General features: G+C 42.9%; 2 protein-coding genes and 1 long non-coding RNA gene across 6 annotated transcripts in view, besides 6 other annotated features; 2 read left to right on the top strand and 1 right to left on the bottom strand.

Annotated features, from left to right (window-relative positions):
- GJC3 (gap junction protein gamma 3) lies at positions 1434-8915 on the top strand. Of its 2 annotated transcripts, XM_047420329.1 has the most exons (3): positions 1434-2800; positions 3267-3341; positions 8578-8915. In XM_047420329.1, exons 1-3 carry the CDS (start codon positions 2561-2563, stop codon positions 8593-8595), a joined length of 333 nt encoding a protein of 110 aa, XP_047276285.1. In that variant the 5' UTR covers positions 1434-2560; the 3' UTR covers positions 8596-8915. The 2 variants fall into 2 exon arrangements, with proteins under 2 accessions (XP_047276285.1, NP_853516.1); NM_181538.3 differs by having other exon boundaries at positions 2561-3341.
- Positions 2178-2762: an enhancer, noted in NCBI's record as "H3K4me1 hESC enhancer chr7:99527042-99527626 (GRCh37/hg19 assembly coordinates)". NCBI's record gives its function as "activates a minimal SCP1, AML or CMV promoter by ChIP-STARR-seq in primed H9 embryonic stem cells {active_cell/tissue: H9 hESC(primed)}" and the evidence as "EXISTENCE:reporter gene assay evidence [ECO:0000049][PMID:30033119]".
- Positions 2763-3348: an enhancer, noted in NCBI's record as "H3K4me1 hESC enhancer chr7:99526456-99527041 (GRCh37/hg19 assembly coordinates)". NCBI's record gives its function as "activates a minimal SCP1, AML or CMV promoter by ChIP-STARR-seq in primed H9 embryonic stem cells {active_cell/tissue: H9 hESC(primed)}" and the evidence as "EXISTENCE:reporter gene assay evidence [ECO:0000049][PMID:30033119]".
- LOC101927610 (uncharacterized) lies at positions 6867-12578 on the bottom strand. Of its 2 annotated transcripts, none has more exons than XR_001745295.3 (2): positions 12242-12578; positions 6867-10997 (listed from the first exon to the last, which is right to left on the bottom strand). It is a non-coding gene; the product is annotated as an uncharacterized LOC101927610 (long non-coding RNA). The 2 variants fall into 2 exon arrangements; XR_001745296.3 differs by having other exon boundaries at positions 12354-12578.
- Positions 12280-12389: an enhancer, noted in NCBI's record as "active region_26330". NCBI's record gives its function as "activates an Ori minimal core promoter by ATAC-STARR-seq in GM12878 lymphoblastoid cells {active_cell/tissue: GM12878}" and the evidence as "EXISTENCE:reporter gene assay evidence [ECO:0000049][PMID:35858748]".
- Positions 12630-12709: an enhancer, noted in NCBI's record as "active region_26329". NCBI's record gives its function as "activates an Ori minimal core promoter by ATAC-STARR-seq in GM12878 lymphoblastoid cells {active_cell/tissue: GM12878}" and the evidence as "EXISTENCE:reporter gene assay evidence [ECO:0000049][PMID:35858748]".
- Positions 12651-23926, top strand: part of TRIM4 (tripartite motif containing 4) — a 29128-nt gene continuing 17852 nt past the window's right edge. Inside the window, exons 1-4 of one of the 2 annotated variants that reach the window (NM_033017.4) lie at positions 12651-13172; positions 15402-15479; positions 22521-22616; positions 23369-23599. In NM_033017.4, coding sequence (NP_148977.2) covers positions 12780-13172; positions 15402-15479; positions 22521-22616; positions 23369-23599 — 798 coding nt within the window. In that variant the 5' untranslated portion in view covers positions 12651-12779. The remainder of the gene's footprint in view (positions 13173-15401; positions 15480-22520; positions 22617-23368; positions 23600-23926) is intronic. The other variant, NM_033091.3, reaches the window with a different exon arrangement.
- Positions 12740-12789: an enhancer, noted in NCBI's record as "active region_26328". NCBI's record gives its function as "activates an Ori minimal core promoter by ATAC-STARR-seq in GM12878 lymphoblastoid cells {active_cell/tissue: GM12878}" and the evidence as "EXISTENCE:reporter gene assay evidence [ECO:0000049][PMID:35858748]".
- Positions 12920-13079: a silencer, noted in NCBI's record as "silent region_18411". NCBI's record gives its function as "represses an Ori minimal core promoter by ATAC-STARR-seq in GM12878 lymphoblastoid cells {active_cell/tissue: GM12878}" and the evidence as "EXISTENCE:reporter gene assay evidence [ECO:0000049][PMID:35858748]".

Raw genomic sequence — 23926 nt, 5'->3', positions numbered from 1 at the left:
TCTTAGATGGCACCTCTTGTGTATCCTCACACAGTGGGAAGGGATGGAGGGGCTCCCTGGAGCATCTTTTATAAGAGCACTAATCTCATTCATGAAGGTTCTTTCCTCAAGGCTTAATCACCTCTGGTTTGATACAGTTTGTTTGTTCCCACCAAATCTCATGTTGTAATTTAATCCCTATAGTTTGATGGTGTTGGGAGGTGGGGTCTAGGGGGAGGTGTTTGGGTCCTGGGGGCAGATTCCTCATGAATAACTTGGTGCCATTCTTGTGGCAGTGAGTGGGTTATCGCTTCTGTGAAACTGGATTCATTCTTGAGGGAATGGATTAGTTCCCTCAAGAGTGGGTTGTTGTAAAGCCAGGATGCCCCTTGGGTTTGGTCCCTCTTCCCCTTTGACCTTCCCTGCCATGTTTTGACACAGTATGGAAACCCTCAACAGAAGCTAAGCAGATGTGCAGGCTGCAGAGCTGTGAGTCAAATAAACCTCTTTATAAATCACCCAGCCTCAGGTTCTCCTTTGTGGCAACACAAAATGGACTAAGACACTTGGTAAGGGCTCCACCTCTTAGTACTATCACACTGAGTACAGCACTTCCACCTTTCCACCTCTTAATACTATCACATTGAGTACAGCACTTCCACCTTATCTGTGGGAGATATGTTCCAAGACCTCCAGTGGATGCCTGAAATTGTGGATAGTACCAAACTCCATATATACTATGTTTTTTTTCCCCATATGTACATCCCTATGATAAAGTTTAATTACAAATTAGCACAGTAAGAGATTAACAACAATAACTACTAAGAAAATAGAACAATTGTGGCTGGGCATGGTGGCTCATGCCTGTAATCCCAGCACTTTGGGAGGCCGAGGCAGGTGGATCACAAGGTCAGGAGACTGAGACCATCCCGGCCAACATAGTGACCCTGTTTCTACTAAAATACAAAAAATTAGCCCGGCGTGGTGGTGCGCCCCTATAGTCCCAGCTACTCAGCAGGCTGAGGCAGGGGAATTGCTTGAACCTGGGAGGCAGAGATTGCAGCGAGCCAAGATCGTGCCAGTGCACTCCAGCCTGGTGACAGAGCGAGAGTCCGTCTCAAAAAAAAAAAAAAAAAAAAAGAAATAGAACAACTGGAACAATTGTAACAATATGCTGGCATCACTACTCTTGCTTTTTGGGGCTATTCTTAAGTAAAATAAGAGTTACTTGAACGAGTATTGATAGTTGATCTGATAACCAAAATGGCGATTAAGTCACAAACCAGCAAGGAGCGTCTACAGCGTTGGATACCCTGGACAAAGGGATGATTCACATCCTGGGTGGGATGGTGTGAGATTTCATAGTGCTACTCAGAACAGCACACAATTTAAAACATTAATTTTGTATTTCTGGAATTTTCCATTTAATATTTTTGGACCTCTGTTGACTGTGGGTAACTGAAACTGTAGAAAGTGAAATCGCAGATAAGAGGGGGGACTACTGTATTAGGTTCTAGCATATGCATCTTGATCATCATTCAGACCATACCACATGGTCTTCTGAGTGTGAGGGTAACCAGATGAGTGAGAATTTAGGCTAAATGGGGACGGTTTGAAACAGCTGCTGGGCATTGGGGAAGGCAGCTGATTAGGACAAATATAGAGATGGTGAACTTGGGCTTGTAGCATTGTGGTATTTTGGCTGGGGAACAGAGGGATTTCTGAAACTTATCCTTGATCATGGTCGCCTGTCACCATGAGGGAGATAATATGCCCAAGGAACAATGGCAAGTGGGGGTCAAAAATCTGAATTTCTATCTAGTCAGTTCTGGCTCTGGCCCCAAATCCTATAGTATGTAATTCTGGTAAATTCTGCTGGGTTACCTTCCAAATGTTCTCTTCTTCCTCAGCTTGTAAGGCCTAAGAGCATCAGACTAAAGCAAGCCTCGATGCTTGCTCTGTTCATTTCATCCATCACATCTAGCCCCATAACCTAACTACCTCTCAACTTTACCACTGTGATGGGAGAAGAGGACATCCAGACACACCTGTGATCATCCAAGGGCATGGAGGAAGAGAAAAGAAGACCGCAAGAGAATGCACATTCCCTCTCAGCATCAGCACTAATTTGCTTAAGATGATGCTGTAGGAGCACCAGGCCTGGCAGCCATCAGCTGGGGAAGCAATACCTTTCAAAGGAAAATTAACAAAACATCCCAGTCTACTCTCTTACGTTCAGCCTTTGGGAAAGAGAGACGGAGGGAAGGAGGGAAAGAGAGAGATGAAGATGTATCCTGGTCTCTCCAACCTGAGAGTTCCTCTCCACTCCAGCAGTACAGAAGGGGAGGGCAGAAGAGAGAGCCACACCACACACACTCACTGTTATTATTTTACATAGATGATTTCATTAAGTAGTAAAGAGGTGCAATCAGAGTCTTGGTATTTAATCAGTCAGATACTTGGAGAGGAATAAAAAAGCTTGCCTTCAGTGATCCTTGGATTAGGAGTGACAAGGTGGACTGGAGCTCCCTCTGAAGGACAGTGAACAACACTGATCTCTTGTCCTCTGCTCCAAAACAGGATGTGTGGCAGGTTCCTGCGGCGGCTGCTGGCGGAGGAGAGCCGGCGCTCCACCCCCGTGGGGCGCCTCTTGCTTCCCGTGCTCCTGGGATTCCGCCTTGTGCTGCTGGCTGCCAGTGGGCCTGGAGTCTATGGTGATGAGCAGAGTGAATTCGTGTGTCACACCCAGCAGCCGGGCTGCAAGGCTGCCTGCTTCGATGCCTTCCACCCCCTCTCCCCGCTGCGTTTCTGGGTCTTCCAGGTCATCTTGGTGGCTGTACCCAGCGCCCTCTATATGGGTTTCACTCTGTATCACGTGATCTGGCACTGGGAATTATCAGGAAAGGGGAAGGAGGAGGAGACCCTGATCCAGGGACGGGAGGGCAACACAGATGTCCCAGGGGCTGGAAGCCTCAGGCTGCTCTGGGCTTATGTGGCTCAGCTGGGGGCTCGGCTTGTCCTGGAGGGGGCAGCCCTGGGGTTGCAGTACCACCTGTATGGGTTCCAGATGCCCAGCTCCTTTGCATGTCGCCGAGAACCTTGCCTTGGTAGTATAACCTGCAATCTGTCCCGCCCCTCTGAGAAGACCATTTTCCTAAAGACCATGTTTGGAGTCAGCGGTTTCTGTCTCTTGTTTACTTTTTTGGAGCTTGTGCTTCTGGGTTTGGGGAGATGGTGGAGGACCTGGAAGCACAAATCTTCCTCTTCTAAATACTTCCTAACTTCAGAGAGCACCAGAAGACACAAGAAAGCAACCGATAGCCTCCCAGTGGTGGAAACCAAAGAGCAATTTCAAGAAGCAGGTGAGAAGGACACGCTCTCTTCCTGTCACTGATGTTTGTGTCCTGATGATCTCCTCCCGGGGCAGGTCCCTCACCTTTCTGGGAAGTACAACTTCTGCATGTTACAAAGTAGGTAACCAGGTTCTAGGCAGATGTGTTCTGACCGCCACTCCCAACCCTTTTCTTTGTTCTCTCTTGCTCTCAAAATCTATCCCAATGTCCATCCCCATCAACTTGATGGTTCCTTCCAGCGAACAAGGACAAGAGTGCTAGTCCGTTGTCCCTCCTGAACTTCCATTTAGGTCTCTCTCCACTTAGGAAAAATCTCAGCTTCTTCTTGATTCTCTACTTTGCAGAGTTATAAAGACACCTGACTTGCCTGAAGGAAACTCTGTGATTGAATCTTCTTTCCAACATCCAGTGAGTGGGGATTCATGTCTGTGACAAATTAGAGGCTGTTGAAGGATCTCTAAGGGCCCCTTGGGCCATGTAGTCTAAAGCATTTCCTGACTGTGCCTTTTCACTGGAATTTTCTGGTGTCAGCATCACAATTTTTATGGGCTTGGTTCAAGAGTCAGCCGGGAGAAGCCTCCCTAAACTGTGTCTCTCCCCTGTCCTGCTCAATAAATATTGATGACTGCTGTTGGCATTCCTGTTGCTGAAGATAATGCCCCTTCCTGTCTCACTGGCTTCATTTACCTCTTTTCTGTTTTTCCACATTCTCTGCTCCCCTTATCATCAAAGTTTTGTAAATGAATGCCCCTCAGACCTGCAGCACATGTCATAAGCCAGAAACTCTGGGCTTCAAGCATATATAAGTCAGTGTCCTCTAATATCTATAGATTTATCCAAATACCCGGCCATATCCTTAAGGAAAATTACTGTGAATTCAGGGGCTTAGGCCCCCTTGATCACTGATAGCTCTGATTTCTGCTCAATTCTCATTCTTCATTTCTGCAGTTCTCGTTGCAGCTTGTTACAATTGTCTCCAGAACTGCAGCAACTCATGCTGGACCAAGTTCCTACTCTTTAATTTCATAACCCTCAATACCACACAGAAAAAGCAGTAGAGTTCTACTGCTGATATGCTGATTTGGGAGTAACAGCAAGGGAGGCTGACATCACAGTGTGATTCGGCGGGTAACTGCAATCTGAATATCAGTCTTCTCGAGTCTCTTAGTCATTTCTGTTGGACAGTGTTGTTCTATCCCTTTTTTTTTTTAACAGAACGCTGCCCTCTTTTCTTAGTTTTCTCTTGCCCTGAAATTCTCAACAAAGGCAGTTATCTATTTTTTTTTCTCTTTCTGAATCCCAAATTATCCCCAAGTAAGTTAGGGGATCCCAAGGGATGCTTTGGCAATAGCTAGGAAATTTTTTTTTTCTTCCTGCTACACAAGTGCTTCATAAGAATCCCTCATCCACTGTAGCCAGAGCCCAGCCAAAGTGACCAAGGAAAAACGCAAATAGCATCATTTGGAATTCTTCCTTATACCACCCCCTTTTAAAACAGCTTTATTGAGATATAATTCATACACCATATAATTTATCCACTTAAAGTGAGGCAGGAGAATAGGTTCTGGAGGAAGGGAACCTAAGGCTGTTTCACGCCAACTTCCTAGGACTAAATTGAAAGGAAAACTCTAACTTTCCTTGCCTAAGTAACACAAGGACCAGAGGCTACTCCCTTTGCAACACCCCCACCTTTTCTGTGCAGCAGATGGGAAATTGCCTGTCCCCAACAAATCAGGCTGTTTGCAGATGAGTCTTCCTTTGCAACTTCGTAACTTCTTCCTAGCCTCTGATTGGTTGCTTTCTGCAAAGCATGAACTGGCCAAAGGGAAACTTCTAGTGGGTACTGGGACCCAAGAAGATTGTGTATCCGTGCCCTTGAACCGCTGCTCGGATTGCTCCCACACTGTGGCGTGTACTTTGGTTTTCAATAAATCCCTGCTTTCGTTCTTTTGTTGCTTCATCCTTTCTTTGCTTTGCTAGGAGTTTTGTCCAATTCCTTGTTCAAAACGCCAAGAACCTGGACAACTTGCAGTCACTATCCTCTACCAGTGACAAAAGTATACAATTAAATAGCCTTTAGTATATTCAGAGTTGTATATCCATCAACACTACCAATTTAATAACATTTTCATCAACTTAAAAAAACCCTACCCCCTCATGTTACTCTCAAACTCTTATTAGCACCCAAAACATGCAACCATCATATGGTTTTGTCTCTATTGGTTTTCCTACTCTTTCATACAAATGGAATCATGCAATATGTGGTCTTTCATGTCTGGCTTCTTTCACTGAGCATAACTTGAGGTTCATTCATGTTGTGGCATGTTTCAGTATTACATTCCTTTATATGGTTGAGTGTTATTCCACTGTTAGGATATACCACATTTTGTTTAAGGAGATACCACATTTTGTTTATACATTCTTCAGTTTCAGGACATTTGGGTTGTTTCCATTTTTTGGCTCTTATGACCACTGTTGCTATGAACATATGTGTACCACTTTTTTTTTTTTTTTTGGGATGGAGTCTCACTCTGTCACCCAGACTGGAGTGCAGTGGTGTGATCTTGGCTTATTGCAACCTCCACTTCCTGGGTTCAAGCGATTCTCCTGCTTCAGCGTCCTGAGTACCTGGGACTACAGGTGCGCACCACCACACCCAGCTAATTTTTGTATTTTTTGTAGAGACAGGGTTTTGCCATGTTGGCCAGGCTGGTCTCAAACTCCTGACCTCAGGTTATCTGCCTGCCTCAGCTTCCCAAAGTGCTGGAACAACAGTCCTGAGCCACCACACCTGGCCCCAGTTTTAGTGTTGTGTAAACACATGTTGTCAGTTCTCTTGCATAAATAACCAGGAATAGAATGTCTGGGTCATAAGGAAACTCCACGTTTCAACTTTTGAGGAACTGCCAAACTCTTTTCCACAGCAGCTGCACTATTTTTACATTCCTACCAGCAATGTGGGAATACTTTTTATTTATCTATTAAATTCTAGCCATCCTAGTGGGTGTGAAGTGGTATCTCATTGTAGTTTTGATTTGCACTTGCCTAATGGCTAATTACATTGAACATTTTCCATGTGCTTAGTGGTTATTTGTATATCTTCTTTGGAGAAATGTCTATTCAAATCCTTTTCCCATTTATAAATAGAGTTTTTTGTATTTTTGTTGTTGCATTGTAAGAGCTCTTTATATATTGTGGGTATTAGATACTTATTGTATGTATGATTTCCAAATATCTTCTCCCATTCTATGATTGTCTTTCACTTTCTTGATAGTGATGCACAAAAGTTTTAAATTTTAATGAAGTCTAACATCCAATTTTTTCTTTTGTTGCTTATGATTTTTGTGTATTACCTAAGAAACTATTGCCTAATTCACAGCCATAAAGATTAATGCCTATGTTTCCATAAGAGTTGTATAGTTTCAGCTCTTACATTTAGGTCTCTGGTTGGTTTTGAGTTAATTTTTGTGTATGGTGTAAGATAAATGTCAAACTTTATCTTTTGCATGTGGATATTCAATTGTCTCAGCACTATTTCTTTTTTAAAAACTTTTTTTATTTAAATGGGTACATAGTAGGTTATATATTTATGGGGTATACAAGGTATTTTGATACAGGTATGCAATGTGTAATAGTCACATCAGGGTAAATGGGGTATTTATCACCTCAAGCCTTCAGCCTTTGTTATAAATAATCCAATTATACTAGTTATTTTATAATGTACAATTATTTTTGACTGTAATCACCCTGTTGTGCTATCAACTACTAATTCTTATTCATTCTATTTTTTGTACCCATTAACCATCTCCACTTTCCCCCTACTACCCTTCCCATCCTTGGTAATCATCAGAGAAGATATACAGATAATAAGAAAGCATATGAAAAGATGTTTAACATCATTTATCATTAGAGAAATGAGAATGATTGACTTTAGGGTTAGGGAAGAGAAATACAAGATAAGACTGGAGGATTTTGTAGCGGTAGAAAGTAAGAAAGTGCTACTCCCTCTTCCCCACAAAATGACAGGAGTTTGTCAAAGGGACACAGATGTCAACTGAAAAAGTTCCCAATGGCCAACACAGGAATAATCTGAGCAGTAAAATAAACAACATAGTATTGGATTATACCCAAAGTATAAAATAGGAATCCATGAATTCATAATATAAATAATTGAATAAATAGGAGATAACTGACAAATTTCTCATGCAGAAGAATGTAGATACTCCACCGCAAGGAGGGGAAATATAACTACTCACTTTTTTTTCTTTTGAGATGGAATTTTGCTCATCGCCCAGGCTGGAGTGCAATGGCAGGATCACTGCAATCTCTGCCTCCCAGGTTCAAGCAGTTCTCCTGCCTCAGCCTCCTGAATAGCTGGGATTACAGGCGTGCACCACCATGCCTGGCTAATTTTTGTATTTTTAGCAGAGACGGGGTTTCACCATGTCGGCCAAGCTGGTCTCGAACTCCTGACCTCAGGTGATCCACCCACTCAGCCTCCCAAAGTGCTGGGATTACAGGCGTGAGCCACCGTGCCCACCAACTACTCCCTTTTTAGGCATGGGCTGCACATAGTGACTTCCCACTAAACAGTAAAATAGGGGGAGGGGAAAGAATAACTTTACAGGGAGAAACCCATCAAATACTACCTCAGCCGGGTGATCAAGGTTAACATCAACAGTGATGAGCAATGTTGACAGCATGTGCCCCGGATATGATGTGATGACGGTTTTTGTATTTTCCCGTTCTAAAATTTCCATGGGGCTATTCTTTGTATTTTCTATTACTTCTCTGAGACTTTTAAACTTTCCATTTGAATAGCAGCTTTATAGTCTTGATAATTCCAACATGTGTGGCAACTTACATTCTGCATCTGTTACATTTTTTCCCAACGTGAGTTGAGATTTTCCTGGTTCTTCACCTGCCAATTAATATCGATTGTATCCTGGACATTTTGAATGTCATTAGGATGCTCTGGGTCTTGGTTAAATTTGGTGGAGGATGTTGATATTTATGTTTTAAAGGGTAATTAACCCATTTGGGTTCAAGTCATAAGTTTTGACCAGCCTTCTGAGGGTTGTGGTTCCAATGTCAGTTCAGTTTTCAAAGCCTTTGTAGTACTCTTCTGATAGGTCCCACATGGGTGGCACCTAAAGTGTAACCCAGGGTCCTTGGGTTTTGGGTACGCACTGTGAAAAAGTTACACACTTGTAACTGTTACATCTTGAATTTTTGTTTTAAAAAGTTCCAGGAAGAAGCTTAGCCCAGGAAAAACAAAGACCAGTTGGACCCAGAGATGCCTGAGTTGGAGATGAACTTTGGCCAACTTTCCTCATCACCATACTTAAAATCCTGTCCAAGGAGGAGCTTATTCACCATTTTCTATACATGTGACATATGTAGCAGCATAACCGACAACTGGGACTGCGCTGCCTTGACTCCACCTCTACATACAATGACTCAGCTAACCAGACTAATAAAAGCCATGTTTGCACCATTGCTCAGGGAGGCATTGCTTTGGGGAATTATTCCCAGTGTCCTCCTTACTTATCGCAAGTAATAAAATCCCCCTGGGAAATCCTCCTTGGTTGTGGTCATTGGACTGTCCCCTGCCAAGCAATTTAACCCATTCATTGTGTGGGTAACAAAAGGCCAGTCTGGGACATGAGATCTGGGTCTACAGTTTAGTTCTCAAAGTCTTTGGCATGCAATTTAGGACCAGATTCATCATACCAAAAAAGGGAGATAGTCTCAACAGAATTCTCAAATTACTTAAATATCAGAGGCAGTGTAGAGAAGGAGTACTTGGTGGTATGGTAGGTTTTCTGACAGGAAACAAAAGATGGAGGTAAAATGGAACCAGTACTTTCTTTCTGAGAATACTGACTGCACCAACCATAACATGAAGCGAAGGCTATATCTCCCTGAAGTAAGAAATGTAATAAAGGAAACTTTCAGAAATAATAGATCATCTGGAGATGTTGGGCAGTGTATTTGGTAAGTTATAACTACCAGGTATCAATACAATAAGCTTAGTTTGAATACAATAAGCTTAGTTTCTTTTTAAAGAATTTATCCTGCTCTGTGTTCTCTGAGCTCCTTGGATTGGTTTGGTGTCTTACAAATTTTGGAAATTCTCAGCCATTATTTCTTGATTTTTTTTTTTTTTTTGAGATAGAGTCTTGCTCTGTCGCCCAGGCTGGAGTGCAGTGGTGTGATCTCAGCTCACTGCAAGCTCCGCCTCCCGGGTTCACGCAATTCTCTTACCTCAGCCTCCCGAGTAGCTGGGACGACAGGTGCCTGCTACCATGCCCGGCTAATTTTTTTGAATTTTTAGTAGAGACGGGGTTTCACTGCGTTAGCTAGGATGGTCTCGATCTCCTGACCTCGTGATCTGCCTGCCTCGGCCTCCCCAAGTGCTGGGATTACAGGGGTGAGCCACTGCGCCTATTTCTTGATTTGATGTTGATATTTTCCCACCAGTCTTGGATGCTGTGTTCTGTTTCTGTCACTCTTTTTGTGTGTGTGTGTGTGTGTGTTTCAGCAATTTCTATTTACCTACCTTCAAGTCTGATTTTTTCCTCAACTGTGTTCAGTCTCCTAATGGGCCCATGGAGGGCATTCTTCATCTCTATTATTATATTTTTTATTTTTATAGTTTCCATTTTATTTTTCCTGATAGTTTCCATCTATTTGCTAAAATCACCCATCTGAGCTTGCATTTTGTTCACCTTTCCCCTTAGGGCCTTCATCACATTAATCACAGTTATTTAAAATTCTCTCATATTTCTAATGTCTATGTCTTATGAATCTGGTTCTAATGATTGTTTTATCTCTTTGGACTGTGTTTTTTCTTGCCTTTCTGTATGCGTCTTTTTTTCTTTCTGTTAAAAGTTAGTCATGTTGTATTTTTTTTGCTTAAATTATTTTTTCAATTCTCTCTTCACAGTATGAAGTAAAGATTGTTTTTATGCTTGGAGATGAGTGTGTCTTTCCTTCTGCTAGGCCTTTAGTGCTCTTGAGTGCATAGCAGTGGTTCGGTGGTATCAGTCTAGTCAGAAATTGGGCTAGGTTTACAGTTTGTTGTTGTGGTTATCCTCAGTGCACAACAGACTTCAAATTTCTCTAGAGATAGCTTATGTGTAGGGTGTGGACTTTATTTTGAAAGTGTGTTTTAAAGAGGTCTGTATGGATGTCAACTCGATGCAGAGTGGACAGTGGTAATTTTGTAATATATCAACTTTGCTAAGCTAAACTATGTTTCCCAGAATTTCCTTTCCTTTTGTTTCTGGTTAGAATAGCCCAACAGAGACATGGTTGTGTAAGTCTTGAAGGGGAGAACTGAAGCATCCCTCCAGTTTTATACTTGAAACGGTGGTGCAGGGACACTAGGTGCTACTGCGGCTCATCTACTTTGTCACCAATCAGCTGGTTCACCTTGTTGGGATGGGGCAGAAGCTTTTCCCTGAGTCTTCCTTCACCTTTTTTGATTCCTGAGCTGTGTGTGTGTCTAGTCCTGTGGCAAAAAGTGTCAGCTCCTCTAGCAAGGATACTCATATCTTTAAAGTTGGAGACAGTGAAAGAATGACCAGCTCGTGTCTTAGGTTCCAACTCATTTTTGCTCTTCCCTACTTTATGTTCATCTTCCCTTCTTAACTGCTTGCCCTGCGAACATAAAGAAACATAGTGATTCCACTTCTCTGAATGAACCTTGGCTGGTATACAGACTTATAGACATTTTGTGATGGAGAAAAATTGTTAATTAGGGAGCCTCACTTAGTAAAGAAGGAAGGTCATCTCTGGTATGGCAGGAATAAAGACATAAGGATTTTAAGGGATTTACCTGAAAAGATTTAAATGACTACTGTAAGGGGAATAAATACTTTGCAGGAATGCTGAAACTTCTCATTCAATACTTAGGTAAACATATAGACACACAGATGCCATAAACACTCATGGTAAACATCAGTAACTGTTAAGAGCATTCCTTCCTGCTTGGTCCCTATTAAAGAACCAGATCCCTTCTCCATAGAGTATTCCAATTTGCAAAGAAAATCCATTCATTAGTTGTCCAATTTAAATGTTTTAGAAATATTCAGTGGAACTTTCATCAATAACCCCCAAACAGATACCTCAAGAACCCCTTTTTCTAATCATTTAATCATACTACTTACTGAGAAAAATTATTATAGGAAAGGCAGTATTTGATATTGGGACATAAAAAGAATGAAAAATCTGTTAAATAAGCAAAAGCCCATTAGCCTGAGGCTGTCTTGGTACTTGAGTTCCCATATAACAAAATACAACCTGACTTAGTATGTAAACGAACTGAAGCCTAACTTACTTTATTTTTTATAACAGCTGGGTTTCAGCCAATCACGGCCGAGCTTCAGCAAATAACAGACAGCCAACTGATCAGACCATGCCCCAATAAGGCAAATGCCTCATCATATCATTGTCAAATAAGGCAGACACCTAGATGTTAGCTAATGAGGTGATTTCTCTACTTTGCTTCCTATAAAAGCTAGCAGGTCATACTGCTGGACAGAGCTCTCTGAACCTCTTTTGGTTCTGAGTGCTGCCCAATTCATGAACTGTTCTTTGTGCAAATAGCTTCTATTAAATTTGTCAGTCCAGAGTTTTTTTTGTTTTAAACAAATATTCACAAGAAAAGGAAGAAAGTGGGAAGAATAAAAAGCAAAGCACCTCAGAAACACAAGATCGAAAATCCACTTAAGGGATATAGATAATTCCCTGAAACAGGTGAGCATATTATTTGTTGAAAGCCTCCATGGATGTTCTTTGGGATAGCAAAATGGTTGCTACTTTTCAAATTGGATACCAAAAAGGCAATGTATCTGCATCTCAGAATCCAAATCATCCCCACGTTAGCCAAACTCCAGGCCTACCAACACAGATCCTTCAAGTCTTCCTGGCCTTCCAGGCCCCTAGGCTGCAGCTCGCCCAGAACTCCTGGGACTCTAAAACTTAAATCGGTCTAACCAGCAGGCGAACACAGACCTGAACCCTCAAACTTGGAAAGAAAGATCATAGGCACCTCCCCGGTTGGCTCCCCCAGGGACCACAACGTCCGGCTCTAACGCCTTGCCCAAGTCCTCTGTAGCTTTCCACAGGCATTTCTGGGTCTCTATAGCTGTTTGGAGGAGCCACTCACCGGTCCCGTCCTGCCCCGCGCCTAGGCCTGAACCAACCCCCTCGCGGTTCCGGCGCGGATACCCAGCAGCTTCCGGTCTTGCGCGCTCAGGCCGGGCAACGTCCGTGCGTTCTTTTTGGGTCCTGAACCCCGGAAGAGAAACTGCGTTGTACCCTTTTACGTGAGGCGGTGACGGCGGTTCGGAAGTCGTCTGGCCTCCCCGCGGCCGCTCGCAGCTTGCTGGCCTCTCCCGCGCCTCACGTCGGACTCCGTCTCCGCGGCAGGGAAGCAGCATGGAAGCTGAGGACATCCAGGAGGAGTTGACCTGCCCCATCTGCCTGGACTATTTCCAGGACCCGGTGTCCATCGAGTGCGGCCACAACTTCTGCCGCGGCTGCCTGCACCGCAACTGGGCGCCGGGCGGCGGCCCGTTCCCCTGCCCCGAATGTCGGCACCCATCGGCGCCCGCCGCGCTGCGACCCAACTGGGCCCTGGCCAGGCTGACTGAGAAGACGCAGCGCCGGCGCCTGGGCCCCGTGCCCCCGGGCCTGTGCGGCCGCCACTGGGAGCCGCTGCGGCTCTTCTGCGAGGACGACCAGCGGCCAGTGTGCCTGGTGTGCAGGGAGTCCCAGGAGCACCAGACTCACGCCATGGCACCCATCGACGAGGCCTTCGAGAGCTACCGGGTGAGCTGGCCGTCGCGGTGACTATGACGGGGCTGTCAGTGTTGCCCGATAAAGTTTACTTAATGCTCCTAAAAGAGCCACGAAGTGGCTGTCATTCCTACTGGAAGCATGAAAAGCCCCTGAAACTCAAAGAAGTTAAGCAAAACACGAATTTCAGAGCTAGGGTTAAAACTGGAATGAGAGGAGGGGAGGTGCAAACCTCAGCAATCATTGTGCAGAATTTTCAATAAACTGGCCCTTGGGGAGCTCATAATAAAGAAAAACATACTGAGAGGGTGTGTGCCGCTGCTGTCCAATAGAAACCACATATGTAATTTAAAATCTTTCTGGTAAGATAAGGAAACGAGGTGACGTTAATTGTAATAATATATTTTATTTAATCTGATTACCCCAAATATTCAAAGCTGAGATGAAAATTATCAATGAGATTTTTTTTTTTTTTCTGAGATGGAGTCTCACTTTATTGCCCAGGCTGGAGCACAGTGGCGTGATCTTGGCTCACTGCAACCTCCTCCTCCGGGGTTCAAGCAGTTCTCCTGCCTCAGCCTCCCGAGTAGCTGGGATTACAGGCACACGCCACCACACCCGGTTAATTTTTGTTTTTTAGTATAGAGGGGTTTCACCATCTTGGCCAGGCTGGTCTCGAACTGCTGACCTCAAGTGATCTGCCCCGCTTGGCCTCCCATAGTGCTGGGATTAAGGTGTGAGTCACCACGCCCGGCCTCAATGAGATATTTTATACTCCTTTTTCATAATAGGTCTGAAATTGGTGTGTATTTTACATTTACAACACATAGCAGTTTGGAATATCCACGTTTCAGGTGCTTGTATGGCTAAATGGATACTGTATTGGACAGTGCCTGTCTGTATCTGTAAATGTCATAGACAGCTGATGATTTGGGAAAAGCCTAGCTTGTAATGATGAGGCTGGGTTTTGTTACTAGCTTCCTTCATCAGTTGGGAAAATCCTGTAACATTTGAATTTGGGGATTATCTGTCCTATCTCATGGGTTAAGAAGCTCCGGTTGAATAAATCACTTTACCTTACTCTGCTTCAGCCATACTGGCTTTCTTGCTTTTGTTTCAAGTCTGTTCTCTTTCTCTACCCACATCTATCCTTTAGATCCTTTTAGCTTTTAGCTTGAAGACCTTCCCTGATCATCCTTTCCAGAGTAGCCCCACCCCCTCCCATTACTGATGGTGTAACTCCAGTGGTCTCCAGCAGAATTGATATGCAGTAAGTACATGAACACATGAATTTATTTATTTATTTTATTATTATTGTTTTTGAGATGGAGTTTCGCTCTTGTTGCCCAGGCTGGAATGCAGTGGTGAGATCTCAACTCACTGCAACCTCCACCTCCCGGGTTCAAGTGATTCTCCTGCCTCAGCTTACCGAGTAGCTGGGATTACAGGCACCTGCCAGCATGCCCAGCTAATTTTGTATTTTTAGTGAAGACAGGGTTTCACTATGTTGGTCAGGCTGGTCTCGAACTCCTGACCTCAGGTGATCCACCCACCTTGGCCTCCCAAAGTGCTGGGATTACAGGCGTGAGCAAGCTTTCCTGGCCAAACACATGAATTTAATGACACAGTGAAAATGTTTGGAAACTGTAAAATACTGTACAGTTGTACCAGCTGACTATGAACAGGAAACAGACACAAAGCTGGACTAGAAAGTGTATGTTCATTCCTTCACTCAGTAACGTTTATTGATGCTTACTATTTGCCAAACATTGTTTTAGAATCTGGACATAAGTGGATGAGAAAGACATGGGCTTTGTCTTGTAAGGAACTTAAGCGTGTACAACATTAATTTCAGTGTGTGTGAGAGTAGCTGAAGTATTTACCAAGTGTACAGAAGGTCTGAGGTCGGAGTGATCACTGAGGAGTGAGGAAAGGCTCCGTTGAGGAGTTAAATGTGTTAGCTCTTCAAGGGTGAGTAGAGGTAGGAAAGAAGGTATTTCAGGCCAAAGGAACAGCATATTCCAAATGTGGTGGAGTGGGATAGCATGTGGTGTGTGAGAGGACTGGAGGTTGCTCAGTACTTCTGGAGCATGGAGCATGGGAAGGAGGATGGTGGGCCATGAGCTTGAAGAAAAAGGCAGGGCCTTATCATGAAGGATCTTGTTTGCCATAGTAAAAAGATTGAACTTTCTCTTTCAGGCAGTGGGGAGTTATAAAAGGGTTTTAAGGCAGGGAATGATATGATCGTTTTTTTTGTTTTAGACAGGTAACTTTGACATCCACGTGGATGAATGGAAGAGAAGACTAATTAGGCTGCTCTTGTACCATTTTAAGCAGGAGGTAATAAAGACCTGAATTAGTTCAGGGCAGGGATGATGGAGAGGGAGGGATGGAGTGATAATGAGCTGGAGTTGAATGACTTGGTGATCAATTAGACTTGGTGGGTGAGAGAGAGAGGAGTCTTGGATGGTAGTTCAGATTTCTGCTTCAGATGGCAGGTAGATGACTGTCAGGTTAACTGAGGTAAGGTACACAGGAGGAAGCGTAGTCTTAGGACAGAAGATCCCATGCTTGTGGAATGTACTGAGTGTGAAGTAATTGTGACAGGAAGTCCAAGGAAGAGGGACAGGAGGTGGGGTGCCTTGGAGGCTAGAGATAATATTTTAGAATCCTCAGCCTGTTCTTGAAGTCATGGAAGAAGTAAGAAGATGAGATTCTCCTAGGAGGACCACATAGAGAGTAAAAAAAGGCACAAAGAGAAGCTTGGGAAACACCAATGGTTGGTAGCCAGCAAAAGACATGGAGAGGACCCATCAGATAAATGGAAGGGAAAATACACTTGTGGGTGGGGGCCGAGGGAAATATAAGTGGATGGGTATGAAAGGGGAACATAGCCCTTAAATCTTCCATCTTCAGCAGTAATAGCTATCAGTTGTTCATTACTTCTTACGTACCACCCACAGTTCTAAGCATTTTTCATACTGTAATTCTTTAATCTTCATAGACATCCTATTAGGTGGATTCTGTTATTCCCTTTTTGAAGATGAGGCAACTGTGCCACAGAGATGTGAGGTTACATGCCCCCGAGGTCACAGAACTAGGAAGTGGCTATGCTTGAACTGAGGTCTTCTAACCCCTAATCCTTTACACTTTTCACTCTGCCACAACTAATCTGAGAAGACTTCTTAGAAGAGGTGGGATTTCAGGATTAAACACAATGGCCCAACAGGACAGGAGTGGATGGGTAAGGGTTACACTGGGATGGGCTGAATGTCACAAGGTTGACTTCGTAGGTGTTCAGGAGCCAGGTCACTGGGCGGAATTCCCTGATATCCGCCCATCTCTCCATCCTCCTCTGCTTAGTCACTGCCCTATTCAACCACCTTTCATTCCATCCCCACCCCAAGTTAGTTAGAAAAACATAAACTGCCCCTGGGTGAAGCTGCTTTATTTCCAAGCATCCCATTCTCAGCATATACTCAGATGGATGGACTGTGTTTTAAAAGTTGGATAGCTGGAAGTTCCCTAAATCCATGGAAAATATCCCCATCCTATACCCGTTATGGTGAGGGGAGAAAAAGAGAAAAGAGAAAGAGAAATAGCTTCATAAATCTCCGGATGCAAATTGTTTGCATGGAAAAGGCCTCCAAGTGCAGCTCTTTTTTCCTTCATGCCTGACTCTAGGAGCTAATCCCTCCATTCTGTTAATTAATTTAAGATGTTTATTGAGCACTGGCTTTGTGTCAGATGCTGTGGCACGGCACCAGATGCAGCACTGGGAATCCAGTGGTGAACAAGACAGGTAAAGGCTTTCCATGGAGCTCACAGTCCAGTTGGGCTGAGGGTGGGAGGTAGATAGCAGACAGACAAATAAATGAAATAATCACAGATGGTGATGGCATGCTGGGAAAGAAAAAGAAAGTGCTATCCTAGGCCAGGCGCAGTGGCTCACGCCTGTAATCCCAGCACTTTGGGAGGCTGAGACGCGAGGATCCCTTGAGGTCAGGAGTTTGAGACCAGCCTGGCCAACATGGTGAAACCCTGTCTTTACTAAAAATACAAAAATCAGCTAGGTGCGGCGGTGGGCACCTGTAATCCCAGCTAGTTGGGAGGCTGAGGCAGGAGAATTGCTTGAATCCGGGAGGCGGAGGTTGCAGTGAGCCGAGATCATGTCACTGCACTTCAGCCTGGGTGACAGAGCAAGACTCCGTCTCAAGAAAAAAAAAAGAAAAAAAGAAAAAAAGAAAAAGTGCTATGCCAGAGAAGGGAGCAGTCTTCTCTTAGGAGGTGACATTGCAGCTGAAACTTGCTGGATGCAGAGTCTGCCATCTGAGGAACTGTGGGAAGAGGCCCTGAGGCGGGGGAGAGCTGGATATGTTTATGGGGTAGGAAGAAGGTCTCTGCACCTGGAGGACCAAGAGCAAGGGGAAAGGTGGCATGCGATGTGAAACGAGATGTAGGCAGCGGTCAGCTTATGTTGGGCCACAATGAAGTGTTCAGATTTTCTTGGTGAAGAGGAAAGCCAGTGAAGAATCTTGAGCAGGAGAGTGACAATATCTGATTAGTTTTTAGAAAAGTTATTCCAAGGCCAGGTGTGGTGGCTTATGCCTATAATCCTGGCACTTTGGGAGGCTGAGGCAGGAGGATTGCTTGAGTCCGGGAGTTCAAGACCAGCCTAGGCAACTGTGAGATCCCATCTCTACAAAAAATACAAAAATTAGCTGGATGTAGTGATGCACATCTGTAGTCCCAGCTATTCGGGAGGCCGAGACTAGAGGATCACTTGCACTCAGGAGTTCGAGGCTGCAGTGAGCTATGATCGTGCCACTGTGGCTGCGTTGTGGATATTGTATGAGAGAAGGACATGACTGTAAGTAGGGAGGGCAGTCGGGAGGTTATTGTAGTTGTCAGACAAAAGATGATGGTGGCTTCAACTAGCGGTGGCAGTGGGGTTTGGCATGTAGGTAGATTTGAGGTATATTTCCAAAGTACACCTACCAGCTTGGATCAATTGCAGAAGTTACAGTGACTGAAATTCATAGAACTCAAGAGCTGGGATGGTATTTAAGAGACATTTGGTCCAGTTGTCTTCATTTTATAGTTAAGGAAGCCTTGATCCAGGAAATAAGCAAGGCTGACTTGCTCACAGATGCACAGCTGGTTTGAAGGTCTAGAGTGAAACTAAGATCTTTGGAAGTTTAATGTTGTTTGAGCTACATGATCACAAGTCAGTAAATGTCTTCATTCTATAAAAGTATGCTCTTTTATTACACTTGTGTTTTCATATACGTATAATTTTCTGGTGCTAAATTAAGAGAAAGTGATTTTTAAAAAAATTATTATTTTTATTTATTTATTTATTTATTTATTTGAGATGGAGTCTCACTGTGTTGCCCAGGCTGGAGTGCAGTGGCGCGATCCCAGCTCACTGCAACCTCCACCTCCCGGGTTCAAGCGATTTTCCTGCCTCAGCTTCCTGAGTAGCTGGGATTACAGGCGTGTGCCACCATGCCCGGCTAATTTTTTTTTGTATTTTTAGTAAAGACGGGGTTTCACCATGTTGGTCAGGCTGCTCTGGAACTCCTGACCTCGTAATCTGCCCGCCTTGGCCTCCCAAAGTGCTGGGATTACAGGCGTGAGCCACCGCACCTAGCTGAGAGAGTGATTTTTAAAATTTCTGGTATTTCTAACCCAGATTGAAATGCTTGGTGTTGCGCTCCTGCCACCTCCTGGCAGTTTCTGTTGTTGCAGGGAAAGTGTTTTCTAACTTCCACCAAGGCTGTCAAGTTAACTCACCTCCCAGTTTAGATTCCAACTGTGGCCAGATTGAAAAAAACTTGGGTAGAGTCTTGAGTAGTAGAACCATATGAGAGAATTCATGCATACTGACTTGTTAAGGCTTTTTAAGACATAGAAAATCTCTATTTAGTAGATTATTATATTTTTCATTATCAAGCAAAGTGAAAACTTTCAAAAACTTGGTCCTATTTGAAGGAACTAATATATATCTCATTACAAACCTCATATACATCAAATTTGACAGTGACCACAAAGCGGCAGTTATAATTGAATAAAGTGAAATTACATGAGAGAGTAGCAGGGTTACATGCCTATTAAAGTTAACTACTAGAGATAGTAAATAGATGATATAATGTTAGGAAACATCATGGTAGAAACAGAATAGCACAGATGGTATTGTGCCATTTAACAGAACTGTATGAATCCCTTTTATAATTTAATTTTGTTTTCCTATTTCATTTTACCATGAAAATTTCAAGCATACATCAAAGTTGGAAGAATTTTGTAGTAACACCAGTGTACCCACATGTAGATTCTACCATTAACATTTGACTCTTTTATCACATAGCTGTCCATTTGTCTGTATCTCTCTGAATACATCAATTCTTATTTCCTTTTGATGCTTTTAAAATTCAATTGCAAACAAAATACTTCAGCATGTATATCATTAACCAGATTTAACATTTGTTTATGGTATTATTTTTTTTTTTTAATATGTAGAGTCTCATTCTGTTACCCAGGCTGGAGTGCAGTGGTGTGATCTCGGCTCACTGAAACCTTTGCCTCTGGGTTCAAGCGATTCTCATGCCTCAGCCTCCCAAGTAGCTGGATTACAGGCTTGTGCCACCACACCTGGCTATTTCTTTTGTATTTTAGTAGAGACAGGGTTTCACCATGTTGCCCAGGCTGGTCTCGAACTCTTGGCCTCAAGCTGTCCACCTGCCTTGGCCTCCCAAAATGCTGGGGTTACAGGCGTGAGCCACCGTGCCTGGCCTATGGTATTTTTTGAGGTAAAATTTAATACCATGAAAAACACAAATCTTAGTTGTACATTTGCTGAGCTTTGACAAATGCCCTTCTCAAGATAAAGGATATTACCATCCAGAGAATTCTTTCATGCCCTTTCCCAGTTATTCTCTGCACCCTTCCCCTACCAGGGCAACCACCGTTCTGATTTTTTTTCAAACACAAATTAGGTTTTGCCTGTTCCAGAACTTCATATAAATGGAATTCCATTGTCTGTATGGATCCTTTTGCTCAGCATATTGATTTTGAGATTTATCCATTTTTGTATAGGTTGGTGCAAATGTAATTGCGGTTTTTGCCATTATTTATCCACCTTCCTATCAATGAATACCTGGACTGTTTCCAGCTTCTAGCTATTGTGAATAAAGCTGCGATGAATATTCTTGTACAGGTCTATTTATGGGTACATGTTTTCATTTTTCCAGGGTCTAGGAGTAGAATTGCTGTACCCTAGGATTAATGTATGTTTAGTTTTACACTGAACCTTCTTCCAAAATGGTGGTAGCATTTCATTCGCCTGCTAATGTTGTGTAAGAGTTCCAGTTGCTCCATACCCTTGCCAACTTTGATGTTATCAACCTTGTCAGTTATTTAACTTGATTTTAACCATTGTCACTTGTAAATGATTGGATGAAAAGTTATACCTATTAGTAATTGTTAGTTTTCTGGGGAAGAATTTAAAAAGTTGTACAGATTATTTTTTAGTTCTAATCATTTCTTTTCTTTTAGTTTTTTAAATTTATTTTTAATTTTTTTAATTTTTTGTTTATTTTGACATATAGTGAGACTTACAGAAAGTTGCCCAGGCCACCCTCCAGCATTTGACACTATTCACTAGTTTTGTAATTTAAATGGTCTCTTCCTTTGGCATAGGAGAAACCATTCTCTCTTGGTTTTTCACCAACTGCTCACCTTAGCTTCTTTGCAGGATTTTTATTTTCTACATACTGCTTAAATGTAGTTGTTGCCAGTTCTAGCCTTGATCCTCTTACTCTATAGAATCTTACTGGGTGATTTTACGCTCACCCAAGGCTCCAACTGCCACCTGTGCTTTAATCCCGAAATCTGCTTCTGCAGCATAGATCTCCTTCCCAACTCTAATTGCTAACATATCCACTTGGATGTCCCACAGGCATCTCAGACTCAATTTATTTAGGTGAAATTTATTTTCCTTCCTCCCATTTACACACTGCTCTTCTTCCTATATTTTCTAATTTGATAAATAACCTGCAGTCCATCCAGTTACTTAAACCACAACTGAGGGGCTAAATCTGGACCCTTTCCTCCTGCAGCCATTTGATCATCAGTTCCTGTGGGTTTTTCTCTTGTGTGTTTCTCTAACATTTCTGCTTCCATCTCTGCACTCGCAGCTGACATCCTACTATCGGGTGCTGCCCCTCAGCCCAATTTGTCAATGTTGATTGACTTGCTTTATTTTTTAATAACTTACTCGGGTTTTTAAATTACAAAAATGGCATATGCCACTTGTAGAAATTAAAGCAAAAATGCATAAAATTTCTAGTACCCCACCTCCAAATTCGTAAGCCATTCTTTTTCCTTGGAAGTCACCAATGTTAATACTTGGGTATACATCCTTCCAGATTTCCCTTGCTTTCACATACAAATACACACACATAGATAAACACGTATGCGCATAGACACGTTTATTCTTTTCAAAACAGAATTGTACAATACATATTGTCTTATGGCTTGCTTTCAACTTATTGTGTATTTCATGTCAATATATAGACAGCTACCTGAAATTGATGCAAAGTATCAATATAACATAATTTATTTAATAATTCCTAATTAGTGGATAATGAATAATGCTATAGTGACCATTTCTTTACATATTGGTTATTTTTGCTAGTGTTTTGTTGCATAGATTATTAGAAGTAGCATTATACCCATTTAAAATTTTGTTAAATCCTGCCAGTTGTCCATCAAAAAAAGGCACGTTTTTAATCTCCTGTGGTGCCAGAGGCCTTCTCTCTGCCAGTAGTAGATATTTGCTAATCTTCTAACAGTTTTTAGTTTTTGCTAACTTACCAGGAAAACTCAATATAGTGTTGTGATGATTTCAGACCAGAATAGTTCTTATCATAGGCCTGTGACCGTCTTCAGCATTTTTTCAATCTCATTCTCTGTTTTGATTAGGTGACTTTTAGCTCTTAAAAAATGAAGTTGCCAGGCGTGGTGGCTCATGGCTGTAATCCCAGCACTTTGGGAGGCTGAGGTGGGAGGATCTGTTGAGCCCAGGAGTTCAAGACCAGCCTGGGCAACATAGGGAGACTTTGTCTCTACGAAACATAAAAAAATTAGTTGGACCTGACGGAGCATGCCTGTAGTCCAGCTACTTGGGAGGCTGAGGTGGGAGGATCACTTGAGCTTGGGATGCTGAGGCTGTAGTGAGCCATGATCAGGCCGCTGCAGTCTAACCTGGGTGACAAAGTGAGACTTTGTCTCAAAAAAAAAAAAAAAAAAAAACAAAAAGAAAAAAGAAGATGATGATGGTTGGAGATGTGTTTTCTTACCTGTGTGTGTTTCTGCTGGCAGGAGAAACTTCTTAAGTCTCAGCGTAATCTCGTGGCCAAGATGAAGAAAGTCATGCATTTACAGGATGTAGAAGTGAAGAACGCCACACAGTGGAAGGTAATGGCAGAAGTGGTTGGATATTTCTTGCTCCTGAGGTCCTTTTGGTCTGGGACATTTCTTGCTTCTGAGGTCCTTTTGGTCATGGGGTTTTGCAGTTCACGTAGAGTCTTGGATGCCTCAGAACCTCTGTTTCCTCCATATCATGTGACTGAAAGAAGAGCTTTCTGGGTGTCAGTTCAGTTGTCAGGCCCCTTGTAGATACGGGGATAGGAGAGGAAGTACCTGTCCCTGCTGCTAGTGGCTTTGGGTGATAATGAGTTCCGCATACTTCATCCCCATGTCTCTACTTTAAGGTAGCACCCCTCTCCTTCCTACTTTTTCCTAAATATACTCCCTAGGTTAGAGTCGGTTTGGGCCCATGGCATTGTGGAAAGAAACAGATGAATGGATGCACACACACACGCACACACACACACACACACACACACCCTCACACTCCTAAAGATTTGGTAAAACTAAACGAGTTCTGAAGGCTAAACTAAGTAGTAGATGTGAAAGTTTGTTTTAGTTTAAAACTTGTCAGTAGTAGAGACTGAAATGTTAGGAAGAATGAATGAATACTATAATGACTAGACAGAGCTATCAAGTAGGTATAAATAAAGGAGTAATGGAAATTTTAGTGGGGGTGGGCAGGAGCTTTTCAAGAGGGTTTGATTAGGATTGACTGTGGATTACTGGGGAATTGTGTAAGGAATTTAGTAGCTGGGGTCAGGCAGAAAAAGGAGTGAGCAAATCTCATGTGGCCTTAGGATAAGATAAAGAGTCAGCGAATGAGAATCAGCACGGAGTTTTCAAAGCTGCACAACTTCCTGGTTGAAGAAGAGGACCTGTTTCTTCAGAGATTGAACAAAGAAGAAGAAGAGACGAAGAAGAAGCTGAATGAGAACACGTTAAAACTCAATCAAACTATCGCTTCATTGAAGAAGCTCATCTTAGAGGTGGGGGAGAAGAGCCAGGCTCCCACCCTGGAGCTGCTTCAGGTGAGACAGTTACGAGTGGGGGTGATCTCATCTTCACTAACTGAACTCTCTCTTGTCTTTAGAGCTGAATGTCCTTCCTGGTGAGTGGGTTTCATAGACATGTCTTATCTCTTGCTAGTTCTGTGCTGTCACATAACTAAAAAGCCAAAGATTCACCATTCAAAGGAAATTAATGTGAAATGTAGGTATGCTGAGCTCAGCTCATAGGAGATAAGTTGATTCACACAGTCTCATAGTTCATCTAGGATCTGAGACTTAGCACATATAAGATTTTTTTCATTCATCTTATGTGTACATTTATAATTATTAAACAATAAAACAAAGCAA

Source organism: Homo sapiens, chromosome 7 (assembly GCF_000001405.40).
Source record: "Homo sapiens chromosome 7, GRCh38.p14 Primary Assembly".
In the NCBI taxonomy this organism is placed as follows: domain Eukaryota; kingdom Metazoa; phylum Chordata; class Mammalia; order Primates; family Hominidae; genus Homo; species Homo sapiens.
Note: the sequence above shows the minus strand (reverse complement) of the source record. Positions and strands in the feature narration are given on the sequence as shown.